General features: G+C 42.5%; 1 protein-coding gene across 20 annotated transcripts in view; it reads right to left on the bottom strand.

Moving 5' to 3' along the window:
* Positions 1 to 16,392, bottom strand: part of PAQR5 (progestin and adipoQ receptor family member 5) — a 108,869-nt gene that overhangs the window by 27,603 nt on the left and 64,874 nt on the right. For 18 of the 20 annotated variants that reach the window (XM_047432749.1, XM_047432747.1, XM_047432748.1 and 15 more), the window contains one exon: positions 168 to 295. In XM_047432749.1, the coding sequence (XP_047288705.1) occupies positions 168 to 295 (128 nt within the window). Of the gene's footprint in view, positions 1 to 167; positions 296 to 569; positions 723 to 16,392 lie in introns of those variants that run through there. The other 2 variants (XM_005254495.5, XM_047432752.1) reach the window with 2 other exon arrangements.

The raw sequence follows: 16,392 nt of genomic DNA, 5'->3' as shown, positions 1-16,392 counted from the left end.
AATGTCTCTTCCCTCTGTCACACACTCCCTTCACCCGCGTGTACCCACGGGGGATCCCCAAACCCCAGCACAGAATCTCAGCCCTCTCAACACTAGCCATGTTTTAAGACACCCTGGTCTCCAGGGCTCCTGAAGGAGACAGGCCGGTCGAGGGGGCCAGAAGGTACCAGAAGGGCAGCAAGTGAGTCCAAATGTTGAGAGTCTCATTGGTCATTTGGAAAAGGCTGAGGATGCAGGCAGTGGCAGAACTCTGTGGATGGCGGTAGCCGAACAGGATGCCTTGCTCATGGAACACCTGCAGAGGCAAAGGAAAAGGACACTGAGGTGAGACCAGAGGGTGGCACGAAGGTCTCTGGAGAAACATCTTCCAGGCCGTGCTCTGTGTGCCTGGAACGCTTGACCCCAAGTCCTTAACCTGTTAAGCTGTTCCCCTCACTCTCTCCTTCCCTCGCAGTAGCTTCTAAAATCCCTTGTCCTCCAAGAAGCCTCCAGCTAGCTGGGGGAGGGAATTCAAGGGCCAGGCTCCCTTTGGGAATCCAGCCTGTCTTTGCATTCCCCGGCGTACTTACTCTTGGCATGAATCTTGCCTAAGAATCCGTTTTCTCACCCCTCTGCCTGGGGCCTACAGCCCAGTTTTTGGACGCCTTTTTGGTGAGCTGACACAGATGCTGTCTGTCTGAGCTGGCAAGCCCTGCATGTCAGGGGCTGGTGGGAAGAACTCTGCAGAAGATGCCCCCGGTGCCAGGATATATTCACCAAGGTGCTTCATAAAGGGCTTTTGATGATGAGGACCACGATGCTGATGCCTGGGCTGCAGGAAGAGGAGGTGGCTGCCCACAGCACGGCTGCTCAAGTCACCCCCACCCCCATGCAGCCCATTTGGCAAGTCCCCCCCAAAAAACACCCACTGAGAAACCCGGACTGGTCAGGTGAAATATGGGGTATCAACCTGCCTGGAGTATTGTATTACATCCACTAAAAGTGGTAAGTGAGAAGATAATGAGGCCAGAGGCACAACAGCCCAGGATACAATAATAAGTGAAGAAATGTGGAATTTAAACTATATTCCTGCCATGGTTAGAAGAGCTTGGGAAAATGAAGTTTACACCATGGGGCAGAGGCTGGGAGGAACATAGAAAAGTGAAGTGTTTAATTTGTTGAGGTAGCAGGATTGCAGGAGACCTGTTTTCCCCTTCTGTGTTGATTTAGACCAAGGGTTCTCAATTTTGACACTATTGACACTTTGGGCCAGATCATTGTTTGTTGTGGGGGCCAACCTGTGAGTCCTTTCACAGCATCCATGGCCTTTATCCGCTAAATGCCACTAGCTCACACTGTCAGCACCCTACCCCCCAAGTTGTGACAAACAGAAATGTCTCCAGATATTGTCAGATGTCCCCTGGGGGCAAAAATCGCCCCCAGGTAAGGACCACTGATTTAGATAAATGTTGCCATACCCTTTGAAACGTAAATTATAAATGAGTAGGGTAATTGAAGCAAATAATAACAATGATAATATTAGTAATCATAATCTAAATCAGGTCACAATAAGTTGCAAACCCTCTCCTTTGAATTTCTAGGGCTGTGAGGGGAAGGCTAGAGGAACTTCAATCTAGCCACCCATTTCTCATTTGGGGTATCAATTTCTTAGTGTAAGAGAGGTTCTCTGTTAAAAAAATGTACAATATATACCAGAGTCTGTGCTATCTCTCTCTCTCTTTTTTTTTTTTTTTTTTTTTTTGAGACAGGGTCTTGATCTGAAGCCCAGGCTGGAGTACAGTGGTGCAATCATGGCTTACTGCAGCCTCAAACTCCTGGCTCAAATGATCCTCCCACCTCAGCCACCTGAGTAGCTGGAACTACAGGAGTGCCACCATGGTCAGCTAATTTTTTTTTTTTTTTTTTTTTTTTTTAAGATGGAGTCTCATTTTGTTGCCCAGGCTGGAGTGCAGTGTTGTTATCTTGGCTCACTGAAACCTCTGCCTCCTGGGTTCAAGCGATTCTCCTGCCTCAGCCCCCTCGGGTAGCGGGGATTACAAGCGCATGCCACAATGCCCGACTAATTTTTTGTATTACTAGTAGAGACAGGGTTTCATCATGTTGCCCAGACTGGTCTCAAACTCCTGACCTTAAATGATCCACCCACCTCGGGCTCCCAAAGTGCTGGGATTACAGGCATGAGCTACCACGCCCAGCCTAATTTTTTATTTTTTGCAGAGACAGGGTCTCACTATGATGCCCAGACTCATCTTGAACTCCTGGGCTCAAGTGATTCTCCCATCTTGGCCTCCTAAAGTGCCGGGATTAGAGGTGTGAGCCATTGTGCCCAGCCTTGTGCTATTTCTTGGGGTTCCAAGTCAAGCAGTCACATGGAACAGTGCAGAAGGTGAGGGGCTGCCAGAGTAATGAGTCAAATCTGGGTCCCCGAGGTGCCATGTGGCCTTGAGAAAAGTGAAGCGTTTAAGTGCAGCTGAAGCCCTGGGTCACAGCTCTCAGGGCCTCTGTGTAAAATGAGAGGGCTTGGCTAGCTGAATGGTCAGCACATTCCCTTCCAGCAGTAGCTCCAAGTTTTAGACAACTCTTAGTTCAGTTCTGGGTTGAACTGCTCAACTAGAGGGAGGGGATAAAATGAAGTTGATTCATGGTCTAGTGAAGAAATACTGTGAATTAGGTTTGGGTCTTAGGTAATTAAAATGATTTGTTCCAGTTTTTGATTCACCATTCAATTCTGCTGACATCCCCGGTTTATGGTGGACAGATTCCTGTAACGGGCAGCAGGAATCTTGAGTTGCAGATTTCCACCCCACTAAGGCTGATGACAAGGAGGCAAATAGGCCAATGGCCTTCAGCCTTTGATCCTGTGGAGGAGGACGGCACGTGCTTGGCAGGACTCGGAAAGCCTTCTAGCAGAAATAACAGCTCCCAGGAGCTCCACACTGGGTCTATCCTTCTACCTTTCAAGCTTCTTTCTCTCTTCCTTTTAAGTTGTTGTTTTATAATTATTAATTAAAGCACTGGCCACTGGTTCCAATGCAGACTCCATTAATCATTATTTACTCATTCATATGAATTAGACTAGCAGATCCTATAAACCAAGAGACTTTGTGACAAGGGACCAGTGAGAGCAGAAACATTTCAGAGCACTGGACATGTGGGGGCGGTGACCTGCAGGGAGAAGGCTGGGTAGGGCTGCAGGAGAGCACAGACCCCGTGACAGCCACAGTGGCAGTGGCTGGACAGAAGCTAGAGGAAAAGGCCACTCACAGTTTGTGACTACTTCCCTTCTCTCTGTGGATCCTGGCATTCTGGCAGGCAAAACTAGGGGGACTGACGTCGTCAAAAGCCAGCGGGGAACAGAAGGGAAATCCATACATTGGACAACTTGACCTCATTTAGGAATCTGGCCCCAGACCTGGGGAGGATATTTTGCCACCAAAGCCAGGGCTGAGCCCAGATTAAAAAAACCTGCCTCCATCTGACCTGCTATGCTGACCCCAGACAAGGATGGGAAGCCCAATATTGGCCACGTAATAGGGGCAAGATTTAAAGCAGCCTTTCCAAAAAAATAAATGGACGGATACAGGATAATAAAAGGAGTCCCTCTGTCCCAGGACAATGATGTTCCAGCTTAGACTAAGAGGACTGACCTGCCCTGCCCTCCCCAACTTGAACCTCTGTCTATGGAACCCTATTACTAGGTCTTAGTTGCACTCCTGCTCTGAGCTCCTGTGAGCACAGGAAAGAAGAAACATTCTCTCCGTCTTCCCACTCTAGCCTTAGCAAAGTGTTTTGCATAGAGCAGACCTTCATAAAACGCATGGTACATACATTGAAAGGACAAACTAATATTTGAAGACAATTTTGTATTCTAAACCCAGTTTGACCCCAAAGGAAAACTGCAATCATTTCCTCAACACTTCGTAGCTTGGCCTCATTTCTAAGCACCCCCAAGTAAGCAGGTGCCTGCTTATTTGCACAGCAGAATTGATTTGTAGGACTCCACCTTGCACCCCTAGTTGCAGGCTGAGCAATTTAGAGTGAAATGAAATCAAATCATATGCAGCCTATTTAGAAGAGAGAACCTCCAGGAACTAGGAGCAGAAGGGCACATCAGCAAGTTTTCCCTTTCAGTTCCTGCCTCAAGCTCAGCATCCAGGAAAGCCTTCTTGCATGGCCAAGACTTGCATGCACCTGCTAGCCAATGCCTACAATTCTACCGTGACAGTTTCAAGCCTTTGGTTTTTCTAGCTATTAAACTGCAAACCACCTGGGGAAAATCACTGGGCATTTTTGGCCAGCAGTAAATAATGGCAGATTTGGATAGCAGGGAAAGAGAAGAGGCAGAGTAGGATCAGGGGACCTCAGGCGCTATTCACATGAATTCTGCAATTCCTGCTCACGGAATCCTCACAACCAGCTTGTGAGGAAGAGCCTTTTATTGTCTCATTTCACAGAAAAGGAAACTGAGGCCTGGAGAGGTTAGGGCATTTATTCAAGTTCTCAAAAGTAACGGAAGCAAAGCTGAAACCTCAATGCAAACAGCACACTCCATTTCCTGTCCTCTTGTGCACTGTCCTTCATTGCTCCGCCTGGGGAGGGCTCTGTCGAGAGATAAAACCCTTATCGCCTGGCCTGTACTATGATTTTGGACTGTGACATACTTCTCTGAGCCTTAGATTCTTCTTCGTTAAAGTGCCATTATGAACTAAATCTGGGAGGCAACTGTGTCCCTCCCAAAATTCATCTGTTAAGTTAAAGTCCTAACCTCCAGGACCTCAGATGCAACTGCATTCGGAGATAAGATCTTTCAAGAGGCCATTAGGGTGGGTCCTAATCCAATCTGCCTGGTGTCCCTCACAAGAAGGGGAAATTTGAATTCACAGAGAGACACCAGGGATGAGCACCCACAGAGTGGTGACTCTGTGCAGAGGCAGCAAGAGAGTGGCCATCTGTAAGCCAAGGAGAGAGGCTTTGGAGGAAACTGCCCCTGTCCAAACCTTGATCTTGAACACCTTTCAGTCTCCGGAACTGCGAGAAAATAACTTTCTGTTGTTTAGACCACTCAGTCTGTGGTATTTTGTTATGGCAGCCCTAGCAAACTAATATGAGCGGTGAGGTTATGCAAGCCAGTGCCTCTGAAACTTTCTTCTGCAAGTGTGTGCAGATCACCTGGGCACCTTACTGCAGTGTGGTGGCTGGGGCGAGAGTCTGCAGTTCTAACCAGCTCCCAGGGCCTGCTGATGCTGCAACTGCCTCTGGCTTCAAAGCCGGACTCCCACCCCAGCATCGTGCTGTCACCTCCCTGCCCAGAATCCAGTTCCCTACAGAAGAGGAAGTTCCTTGTATGTAAGAGGGACATGGTGACAGGGAAAGCCAGGACAGGGAATAGTTAGAGGCTAGCGGGGAGTCTGATGAGGTGTTTGCTGGCAGAGGGCAGGGGAAGAATGGGAGGGAAAAGGGGGAGGCCATGCATTGATGCAGCAATTATCATTATTATTATTGAGACAGAGTCTCACTCTGTTGCCCAGGCTGGAGTGCAGTGGCGCGATCTCGGCTCCCTGCAAGCTCTGCCTCCTGGGTTCAAGTGATTCTCATGCCTCAGCCTCCTGAGTAGCTGGGATTACAGGCACATGCCACTATGCCCAGCTAAATTTTTGTATTTTTAGTAGAGATAGGGTTTCAACATGTTGGTCAGGCTGGTCTCAAACCCCTGATCTCAGGTGATCCACCAGCCTTGGCCTCCCAAAATGCTGGGATTACAGACGTGAGCCACTGTGCCCGGCCTTGCTGCAGCAATTATAACCTATCATTTCCTGGGTACCTGCGGTGCACCAGGCTCTAGGTTGGACAGTATGCCACATCCCTTGCAGGACCATGCTTAGTTCCCATAGGACAGAAATACTTAGGCTCTCAATTAAAAGAGCATAAAACAACAATTGCACACCACACACATGCAATTACTAGAACTTTAAATAGGCTGAATTAATAACCAACCATTGTTGATATGAAACCATTACAAGAAAATGCCAATTTACAACATTGCTGTGATGTTTTTTAAAAATACATGTCCAATATTCAGTCAAGCATAAGAATGCTTTTTGTACATGCAGTATAATATTTACAGAAGAAGTCTCTTCTGGCTGAACATGTAAGACGGATAAAAATTAATGAAATAAATGATGAATATCAGGGATGGAGGAACCAAAGAGTATTAATAATTTAATGGACAATAAAGTAAAAAAAGATACACAAAATGTTTTTAAAAAGTAAATAGCACTGGGCACAGTGGCTCACACCTGTAATCTCAGCACTTTAGGAGACTGAGGTGGGCAGATCACTTGAGGTCAGGAGTTCGAGACCAGTCTGGCCAACATAGTGAAACCTCATCTCTACTAAAACTACAAAAATTAGTGGGACATGATAGAGCGTGCCTGTAGTCCCAGCTACTCTGGAGGTTGAAGCAGAAGAATCACTTGAACCTGGGAGGCAGAGGTTGCAGTAAGCCGAGATTGTGCCATTGCACTCCAGCCTGGTCAACAAAGCGAGACTCTGACTCGAAAAAAGAAAAGTAAACAGAACTCAGGTAGTGTGTGCTAGAGAAGAAAAGTCCCATTGAATGACTAGCATTATAGACGTATTGATCTACAGCAGAAGAAAGTAAGAAAGTTGAAATAACAGAGCAATTCCGCTGGTTTTACATTTGTTGTAAAAATGCAGTCTTTGATTTAAGAAGTAGAAAAACTATTTTCAGTTTTAGGCATTGATTTCAAAAGCTGCCATAGGCAAGCTTGTGATAATAGTATAACATGGTTGCTAACTCTACAGTAGACAGAATAATGGCTCCCCAAAAATGTTCACATCCTAATTGCCAGAACCAGTGAATATATTAGGTTATTAGGTTACACAGCAAAGGGGCAGCAACGTCCCAGGTGAAATTAAAGTTGCTAATCCACTGACCTTAAAATAGGGAGATTCTCTGTTTACCGAGGTCGGCCCAGTATAATCAAAAGGTCCTTAAAAATGGAAGATGGAGGCAGAAGAAGAGACTCAGAGGAAAAAGTGACTATGGAATAAGGTCAGAGAGATGCAACATTGCTGATGTGAAGATGGAGGAAGGGGCCAGGAGCCAAGGAGAGCAGGCAGCCTCTAGGAGCTGAAAAGGTAAGGAGACATTCTCCCCAACAGCATCCACCAAAGCCTAGATTTTACCCAGTGAGACCCATGTCAGACTTGTAACCTACAGGACTGTAAGATCATATATTTGTTTGTTTGTTTTTTGAGCCACTGAGTTTGTGGTAATTTGTTACAGCAGTAACAGAAAACTAATGCAAGATCAGAATTTCACCGAAAATCCAGAAGTACTCTTAGTGCTAAGTATGGTGGCATGTGGTTTGAATTGCTTACTAGGAGAAGTGATTGGGCTTTCAATTAAAAGAACATAAAACATCGCTTACACACAACACACATGCAATTACTAGAACTTTAAATAGGCTGAATTAATAGCCAGCCATTGCTGGTATGAAACAATTACAGGAAAATGCCAACTTACAACAGTGGTGTGATGGTTTTCAAAAAATAATGTGTTCAATATTCAGTCAAGCATAAGAATGCTTTTTGTTTTGTTTTGTTTTGTTTGAGACAGAGTCTCACTCTGTCACCCAGGGTGGAGTGCAGTGGCACGATCTTGGCTCACTGCAACCTCTATCTCCCGAATTCAAGTGATTCTCCTGCCTCATCCTCCTGAGTAGCTGGAATTACAGGCATGTGCCACCATGCCCAGTGAATTTTGTATTTTTAGTAGAGATGGGGTTTCACCATGTTGGCCAGGCTGGTCTTGAACTCCTGACCTCAAGTGATCCACCTGTGTTGGTTTCCCAAAGTGCTGGGATTACAGGCATGAGCCACCGCGCCTGGCCAAAGAATGCTTTTTTTACGTGCAGCACAATATTTACAGAAGACAATGGTAAATTTCTTCTGGCCGAACATGTAAGGTGGCTTGAAAGTATTCTTAGTGCTGGGTGTGGTAGCACATGGTTTGAATTGCTTACTAAAATTGATTAGGCTGTCAATTAGATTTTCTATGGAATAGTTCAAAGATTATGTATGACATTCTCTGAATCTTCTCTCAAATGGGACATCTTGCTGAAACACATACCAAATTTGACCTTAACTCCTCTCATTCACACAATGAGAATAACAAATCCATGCTGTTAAACGCTTAGATTTGATTTAGGTAAGATATAGGACGATGAGAAGAAATCAGTGTAACAGAAAATTCTATTTTTCATAGGAAATAACATCAATTTTGAATTTGAGCTCTCAACTGATATTTGTTATGAGATAATGTTAGCAAAAGCCTACAAAAAAATCTAGGTTTGGCTATTCCATTTTTAAAGGGATTAAAAATACGTATTTATTATTTTAAATATGTATAGGACTTTTCTAAACCAAAGGAGTCGCACATAAAATGCATAATAAAGGTGACTTTCCAATCAGATAAAATCCAAAAAAGGAAACAAAAATGTCTCTGGACTGTGAAGAGAAGATTCACGTACAAATCATCCTGAAATTAACTTCTGTAGGGATTATTTCTCCGGACACTGTAGACTGAGGTGTAATTTTGACTAAGTAAAACCCTACTGTTTTCAGTTTTCTTTATATTATCTCTTTCTAATATACTTTTCTTAATAAAATAGATGAATACTAATCTAGATATTACTTTGAGGGAGTAAAGATAGCACGATGAGATGGTAATCTATATGGAATTAAAATATTTAATAATTTTTCTGCTTAATATAATTATCATATGCTGCAGCCTCATTACAATGTTTGAACTTCATATGAAAAATTTATAATTTTCTTGCTCAAACTGGCTTCAATTAAAAAAAGAAAAAATGTATAATTCATTTCTGATTCAAAATGTGGACTTAAGAATTATTTTTTTGTAATTCCAGCTGTTCTACCTCAATAAAACTGAATGGAATCTCAGCAGAAGTTTCTCCTAAATGAAATTAATTTAAGAAACAAAACTAAGAACTACAATGACTCAGGAATAGTGGTTTAATTTAACATCATTGTCAATAGACCACAAATTATATGATAATGTCGATTACAACACTATAACTCAACTTTGCTGAAATGAAGAAATAAAATAAATTATATGGAATAAACACGTAATAATTTATAAATTATGCATGTTTTTGTTTTATTACTCTTTCAAACATAAGTAATTCATCAATGTAACATTTAGACATGTGCGATAATAATTAAACTCAGTTCTTTTTCATATTTTGCTGACTTTAGCTATATAAAAATCAGAGTTTCACTTTTTCTGTCCTTATAAAGGGGCATTTGTCAGGCCTGGCACAGTGGTTCACTCCTGTAATCCCAGCACTTTGGGAGGCCAAGGCGGGTGGATCACCTGAGGTCAGGAGATTGAGACCATCCTGGCTAACACGGTGAAACTCTGCCTCTACTAAAAATACAAAAAATTAGCCAGGCGTGGTGGCAGGTGCCTGTAATCCCAGCTACTCGGGAGGCTGAGGCAGGAGAATCGCTTGAACCTGGGAGGCAGATGTTGCAGTGAGCCAAGATCGCGCCATTCCACTCCAGCCTGGGCAACAAGAGCGAAACTCTGTCTCAAAATAAATAAATAAATAAGTAAATAATAAAATAAAGGGGGATTTGTTAAGGTAGAATAGAACCACTTTACATAACTGTTTGTTGGCTTCATTTATAACTTTTAAGTATTTAGACATATAGCCTATGGCCTGCATTTGTCCTCCTTATTCAGACTTAGCATCTGTTAAGGGCAGGTCTGGTTTCTTTTGTTCATCATGAGAGCATGGCAAGACAAGGACTGTCGACCCATTTTACAAATAAGAAAACTGCAGCTCAGTGAGACGAAGTTCCCAAGGCCATAATAAATAGCAGAACCAAGATGCAAACCCTAGTCTTAAACTGCAAAACTCCTGTGTGCTTCACAGCACCCAGCTGGTGGAACCAAGGATTGCTACAAACATGTTTTATAGAAATGCTGTCATGGAAGAATGGCTGGGGCACTCCAGTTCTGGCCGAATGATGGTCGATTAGATGTTATGAAGGATCTTTCTGATTAATGCAATTAATATGCTGTCTGGAGTATGCATCATAAGCCAGTGTATCAGCAAAAATCACACAAAAGTAAAGAAGTCACAAAGCCCCAAAACAGAGGGAAACCAGGAACCCTGTGAGGTAAGCTGCATTCACCATCAGAGTCTCTGCTGCCAGATTTTGTAAACAAGAGATGAAACCCAAGGCCCACCAAAGGCAGGGAATCTAATACGAGACTTTGCCAATAAAGCTAGGAGTCTAAAGATAAGTGAGTGTGAAATAAATTCAACCAGCCAGAAGAGGACGATAAGGAAAGTTGTTTCTCTGAAAAAAAAAAAAATCTCTCCCAAAATTCATAACCATCAGCTAGTCTTCATATAGGTTTGTGGTCCATGCCCCTACTATTTTTGTGGTCCAGGAAATCTCAAGTGAAAAAATTAAAGTGATTACAAATAGAAAGAGGTTAAAATTTTGTAGTTCCCTCAGGTAAGTAACAAAAGCAAACACAAATCCTCTCTGAAGGATTTCTACTTTTTTTTTTTTTTAACTTGAGGCAGGATCTTGCTCTGTCACCCAGGCTGGAGTGCATTGGTGTTATCTTGGCTTACTGCAACCTCTGCCTCCTGAGTTCCAGCTATTCTTCTGCCTCAGCCTCTTGAGTAGCTGGGATTACAGGCACATGCCACCAGGCTCTGCTAATTTTTGTACTTTTAGTAGAGACAGGGTTTCACCATGTTGGTCAGGCTGGTTTCGAACTCCTGACCTCAGGTGATCCACCTGCCTTGGCCTCCCAAAGTGTTGGGATTACAGGCGTGAGCCACCACACCCAGCCGGATTTCTACTTTAACACAGGCATGCACACATAGGGAAAGAAAACACCATGAGTGAGAAACAGCAGAAACAGTAGACGGCAGAGATAGAGATCAAAGAACAAATATTAAAATATAAAATAACTGTGTTTAATATATTTAAAGAAATAAAGATAAACAGGAAACAAGCCAATTTGAAAAGAACAGGCTGGGCATAGTAGCTCAACCCTGTAATGCCAAAACTTTGGGGGCCGTGGTGGGTGGATTTCTTGAGCCCAGGAGTTTAAGACCAGCTTAGGCCACACAGTGAGACACCCTCATCTCTACAAAATTTTTTTAAAAAATTAGCTGGGTATGGTGGAGCACAGCTGTAGTTCCAGCTACTGGGGAGGCTGAGGCAGGAGCATCACTTGAGCCCAAGAGTTTAAGGCTACAGTGAGCCATGACTGCACCATGACACTCCAGCCTGGGTGACAGAGCAAGACCCTGTCTCAAAAAAAAGAGCCTAATATAACTTTTAGAAATTAAAAAATAATTGAAATTTAAAATACATCAAAGGAATAAATAATACACCAGACCTGTCTGAAGAGAAAATTAGTCAACTGAAAGATCCAAAGAAAGTACCCAGAATGCAGTCCAGAGAGAGTAATAGATAGAAAATATGAAAAAGCTAATAAGAGACACAGAGAACATTTCTCCAGAAGGAGAAGATATAAATGGTTTTGATGTGCTATTTGAAGAAATAACTGATACATTTCTAGCATTATTGAGTCATCAGTTTTCAGATCCAAGAGGTTAAGTAGACAGTTGGTGTTCACCAAATATTACATGTGCTTTCCTACATTCCTCAGACTTTCTCAAAGTTAGGTTGGGGCCATGTGACTATTTCCAGTTAATGTTACTTCTAGGCCAGAAGAGTTAAAAGCAGACGCACAGTGGCTCATGCCTGTAATCCCAGCACTTTGGGAGGCCAAGGCAGGCAGATCACCTGTGGTCAGGAGTTCGAGACCAGCCTGGCCAACATGGTGAAACCACATCTTTGCTAAAAATACAAAAATTAGCCAGGCGTGGTGGTGCATGCCCGTAATCCAGCTATATAGGAGGCTGAGGCAGGAGAATTGTTTGAACCTGGGAGGCGGAGATTGCAGTGAGCCAAGATAGTGCCACTGCACTGCAGCCTTGGCTACAGAGCAAGACTTGGTCTAAAAAAAAAAGCAGAAAGCCTTCTTGCAGATATCACTACAAACTTCTGAAGGACCTTTCGGAAGGACTCTTCCGAACTGAGCCACTCATCATGCCATGGGAATTGTTTTTGGCCAACGGGCACTAGTTATACTCCTCCCCAGGGGCTGTGTACATCCACTGATGACAGATCAAGGTCCTAGCCTCCTTTTCCCATTTGGGACAACTCTGAAAGGCCCACTAACTTCCAGAGCTCCTGAGTGACTGGTGGAGGTTTCTAACGCAGCTTCTCCTTCTGCACAATCCCGCCTCCTTCACATCCTTGCAGGGGTTGTTCCTGAGAATACTCCCCCATAAACTTTCTGTGCCCGAATCTTTTTCTCAAAGTCTGTTTCTAGGGAAACTAACTTTCTCTTCTTCTTCTCCCATCCAAGCTTGAACCTGGCCCAGCCCTGCCTAGTTTCTGAGATCAGGCAAGATAGGTGTGTTCAGGGTGGTATTGCTGTAGACCCTGGCTTCCCCTTCTGGGATGACCTTGGAGGCTGCACGTTGCAGAGGGGGCAGCCAGGAGATGGCTGCCTGGGTGTCTCAGTCCCTCACTGACCACTTAGCTATGTAGTGTGATGTGAAATAACCTTTGCTATGTTAAGTCACCGAGCTATATGGGGTAATTTTTAACTCAGCATAGCCTGACCCTGTCTAGTACAGCTATTCATGTTAAAATAGCTGAAGTGACCACTAAACTAATCCACGCAGAGCATATTTCTAACACATTAATTATAAAACAGGTGGAAGGGAAAAATAGCATATGAAAAGAAAAAAAAAGAGAAATGTAAAACTCAATCCAAAGAAAGTAAGGGAAACAAGGAACAAATAGAGAAAACAAGACAAAAGCATTTAAGACAATGAAAATAAATGTGGATATCAGTAATCATTATAAATATAAGTAGACTAAACTGTCAGCTAAAAAACAAATATTGTCAAACTAATAAAATCTCACCATGTGCTGTTTACACAAGACACAGCTAAAATATAATCATGGGGAAGGATTGAAAGTCAAAGGAAGGAGATAAGCCAAACAAATGATAACAAAAGCTAGAGTAGTTACATTAATATCGGATGCATTCCAAGGCAAAAAGCATTACTAGATATAAAGATAATCACTACAAAATCATACCTTTGCAACATCGGGAAGATAGAAAATAGGACAATTATAAACTTGGATATACCTAAAAAACACAGGCTCAAAATACGTAAAGTAAAAATTAACTTACAAGAAGTAATTTACAAATTTGCCACCATAGTGGAAGATTTTTTAACACATCTCAATTATGCATAGATCAAGTAGAACAAAATTGGTAAAAATATAAAGATAATTGATCTTATGGACAAATATGGAATACTTCCTCCAACAACTGGAGACTATACATTATTTATCGGCACACTTAGAAGATGTATGAAAATTATTCATGTGCTAGGCCATCAAGCTAGTCTGAACAAACGTCAAGGATTGGAATAATACAGGGGGCATTCTCAGACCAAGATCAATTAAGTTAAATCAGTAGTATAAAAACTCCATATACTTGGAAGCATGGAGTTACCATATGATCCAGCAACTCCACTCCTGGGTTGTACACCAAAGAGACTGACAACTTGTCCACCTAAATGACTTGTACATGAATGTTCACAGCAGCATATTTATAATATCCAAAAAATAGAAACAACTCACCTGTTCATCAACTAATGAATGGATAAACAAACTATGGTATATCCATTCAATAGACTATGATTTGGCCATTAAAACAAAGTACTGATAGATGCTACAGCATAGATGAACCTTGAAAACATCCTGCTAAGTGAAAGAAGGCAGTCAGAAAAGGCCACATATTTGCACAATCCCATTTGTGGGAGATATCCACAATAGGCAAATCCATACAGACAGAAAGTAGGTTAGGTGGTTGCCAGGAACTAAGGGAATAGAAAATGGCTGCTAACGGGTGTAGTTCTTTCTGGAGTGATGAAAATGTTCTAAAAACTGGTGATCATGGTGATGGTTTTGTGCAATATACTCTGTGTTCAACAAACTAAAACACTGAATTGTACACTTTTACAGGGTGGATTTTATAATATGTGAATTGTGTCTCAACTAGGCTGTTATAAAAAAATCTTTCCATCAAGAAAATTCAGCTGTAGGGCCAAGTTGTTCCCTGCATAACTCCAGAGGTTGCCATTCACGTAGACTAAAAGGGAAATGGTGCCCCCTTAGAGTTGGGCAATATGGTGGCTCCGCCCAGGTAATTTCACAGACAAATTCTACCAACTACTCGGGAATGTATAATTCTAATATTAGATATTTTTCCCCATAGAATAAATAGGCAGCAATCTCCAACTCACTTGTGGTTGGCGTAACCTGAATCCCAAGTCCAGGCAAGGACAGCATAAGAAGAAAACATTATAGGCCAACTCATTAATAGACTTAAAGATCCTGAACAAAATATTAGCTAACTGACTCTAGCAATAGATTAAAGAGATCTATCACAATCAAGCTGTATTTAAACCAAAAACAAAAAATTGGTTTAACATTAGCAAATTAATCAGTGTATCACCACACTAACAACTTAAATGAATCATATATGATCATCTCAAAAGATGATAGGAATAAAGAGTTCTATAAAATTCATAAAGGAGGCTGGGCACGGTGGCTCACGCCTGTAATCCCAGCACTTTGGGAGGCTGAGGCAGGTGGATCACCTGAGGTCAGGAGTTTGAGACCAGCCTGGCCAACATGATGAAACCCCATCTCTATTAAAAAATACAAAAATTAGCCAGGGATGGTGGCACTTGCCTGTAGTCCCAGCTACTTGGGAGGCTGAGGCATGAGAATCGCTTGAACCTGGGAGGCAGAGGTTGCGGTGAGCCGAGATTGCGCCACTGCACTCCAGCCTGGGTGACAAAGCAAGACTCTGTCTCTAAATAAATAAATAAAATAAAATAAAATAAAATAAAATAAAATAAAATAAAATAAAATAAAATAAAATAAAATAAAATTCATAAGGGAAGGCCAGATGCGGTGGCTCACGCCTGTAATCCCAGCACTTTGGGAGGCCAAGGCAGGTGAATCACGAGGTCAGGGGTTCAAGACCAGCCTGGCCAAGATAGTGAAACCCCATCTCTACTAAAAATACAAAAACTAGCTTGGTGTGGTGGCGGACACCTGTGATCCCAGCTACTTGGGAGGCTGAGGCAGAGAATTGCTTGAACCTGGGAGGCGGAGGTTGCAGTGAGCCGAGATCTTGCCACTGTACTCCAGCCTGGGTAACAGAGCAAGACTCCATCTCCAAAAAAATAAAAAAAATTATGAGGGAAAAAATCCTAGCAAACTAGAATATGAAGTGATACCCTTAATCTGATAAAGATGAAAAGATTACTTATACACACACACACACACACAGCAACCATATTAAATGGTGAAATGTTAAAAGCATTTCTTTTCATTAAAACCAAGAACAATACAAAGATGCCTGCTATCACAACTCGTTATATATATATAACATATATAATGTATATATATTACATATATAATGTATATATATAACATATATAATGTATATATATTACATATATAATATATATTACATGTATATAATATATATATATATTTGTTTTGTTTTGTTTTGTTTTTGGAGACAGAATGGTGATTGCTTTAAAATCACCCACCTCGGCATCCCAAAGTGCTAGGATTACAGGTGTGACCCACCGAGCCCTGCTTCTATCATATTTTAATAAGCTACCAGGTAATTCTGACATTGGTGATCTAAGCACTCTCTCTGAATAGCACTGGGCTGGAGAAACCATTTACCTGTTGAGATGGCTCCTTGTTCCCAGTGCCTGAGCCCACCTACCAAACACCTATGCCAGACACTGATCTGGCTGTGCTTCCTTCATTCATAATAATCCCACTGTTCTATTTCATTTTTATTGGATCTTCACAATTGCCCTGTGAGACTGACTTAACAGGAGTCACTTCCATCTTACAGATAAGAACACTGAGACTAAGTTTATGACTGTGTGGCAGAGCTGCAGTGCAAGTCTGGAAACGGCGTTGCTTTTCCTCTCTGTGTAGACCACTGCCTCAGGGAATCCTCCTGTCCATGCCCCTAAACTAAGGCATCTGGGACTATGGGATGTGTTTACCTGTAGCCTGTGAGTCAAGGCTGTAGTTATTTAAAGCTTAGCAATTTGTCTGGGTTCAGTGGCTCACACTTGTAATCCCAGAACTTTGGGAAGCTGAGGCAGGCGGATCACTTGA

Source organism: Homo sapiens, chromosome 15 (genome assembly GCF_000001405.40).
Source record: "Homo sapiens chromosome 15, GRCh38.p14 Primary Assembly".
Lineage (NCBI taxonomy): Eukaryota > Metazoa > Chordata > Mammalia > Primates > Hominidae > Homo > Homo sapiens.
This window is presented reverse-complemented; position numbering and strand designations above follow the sequence as displayed.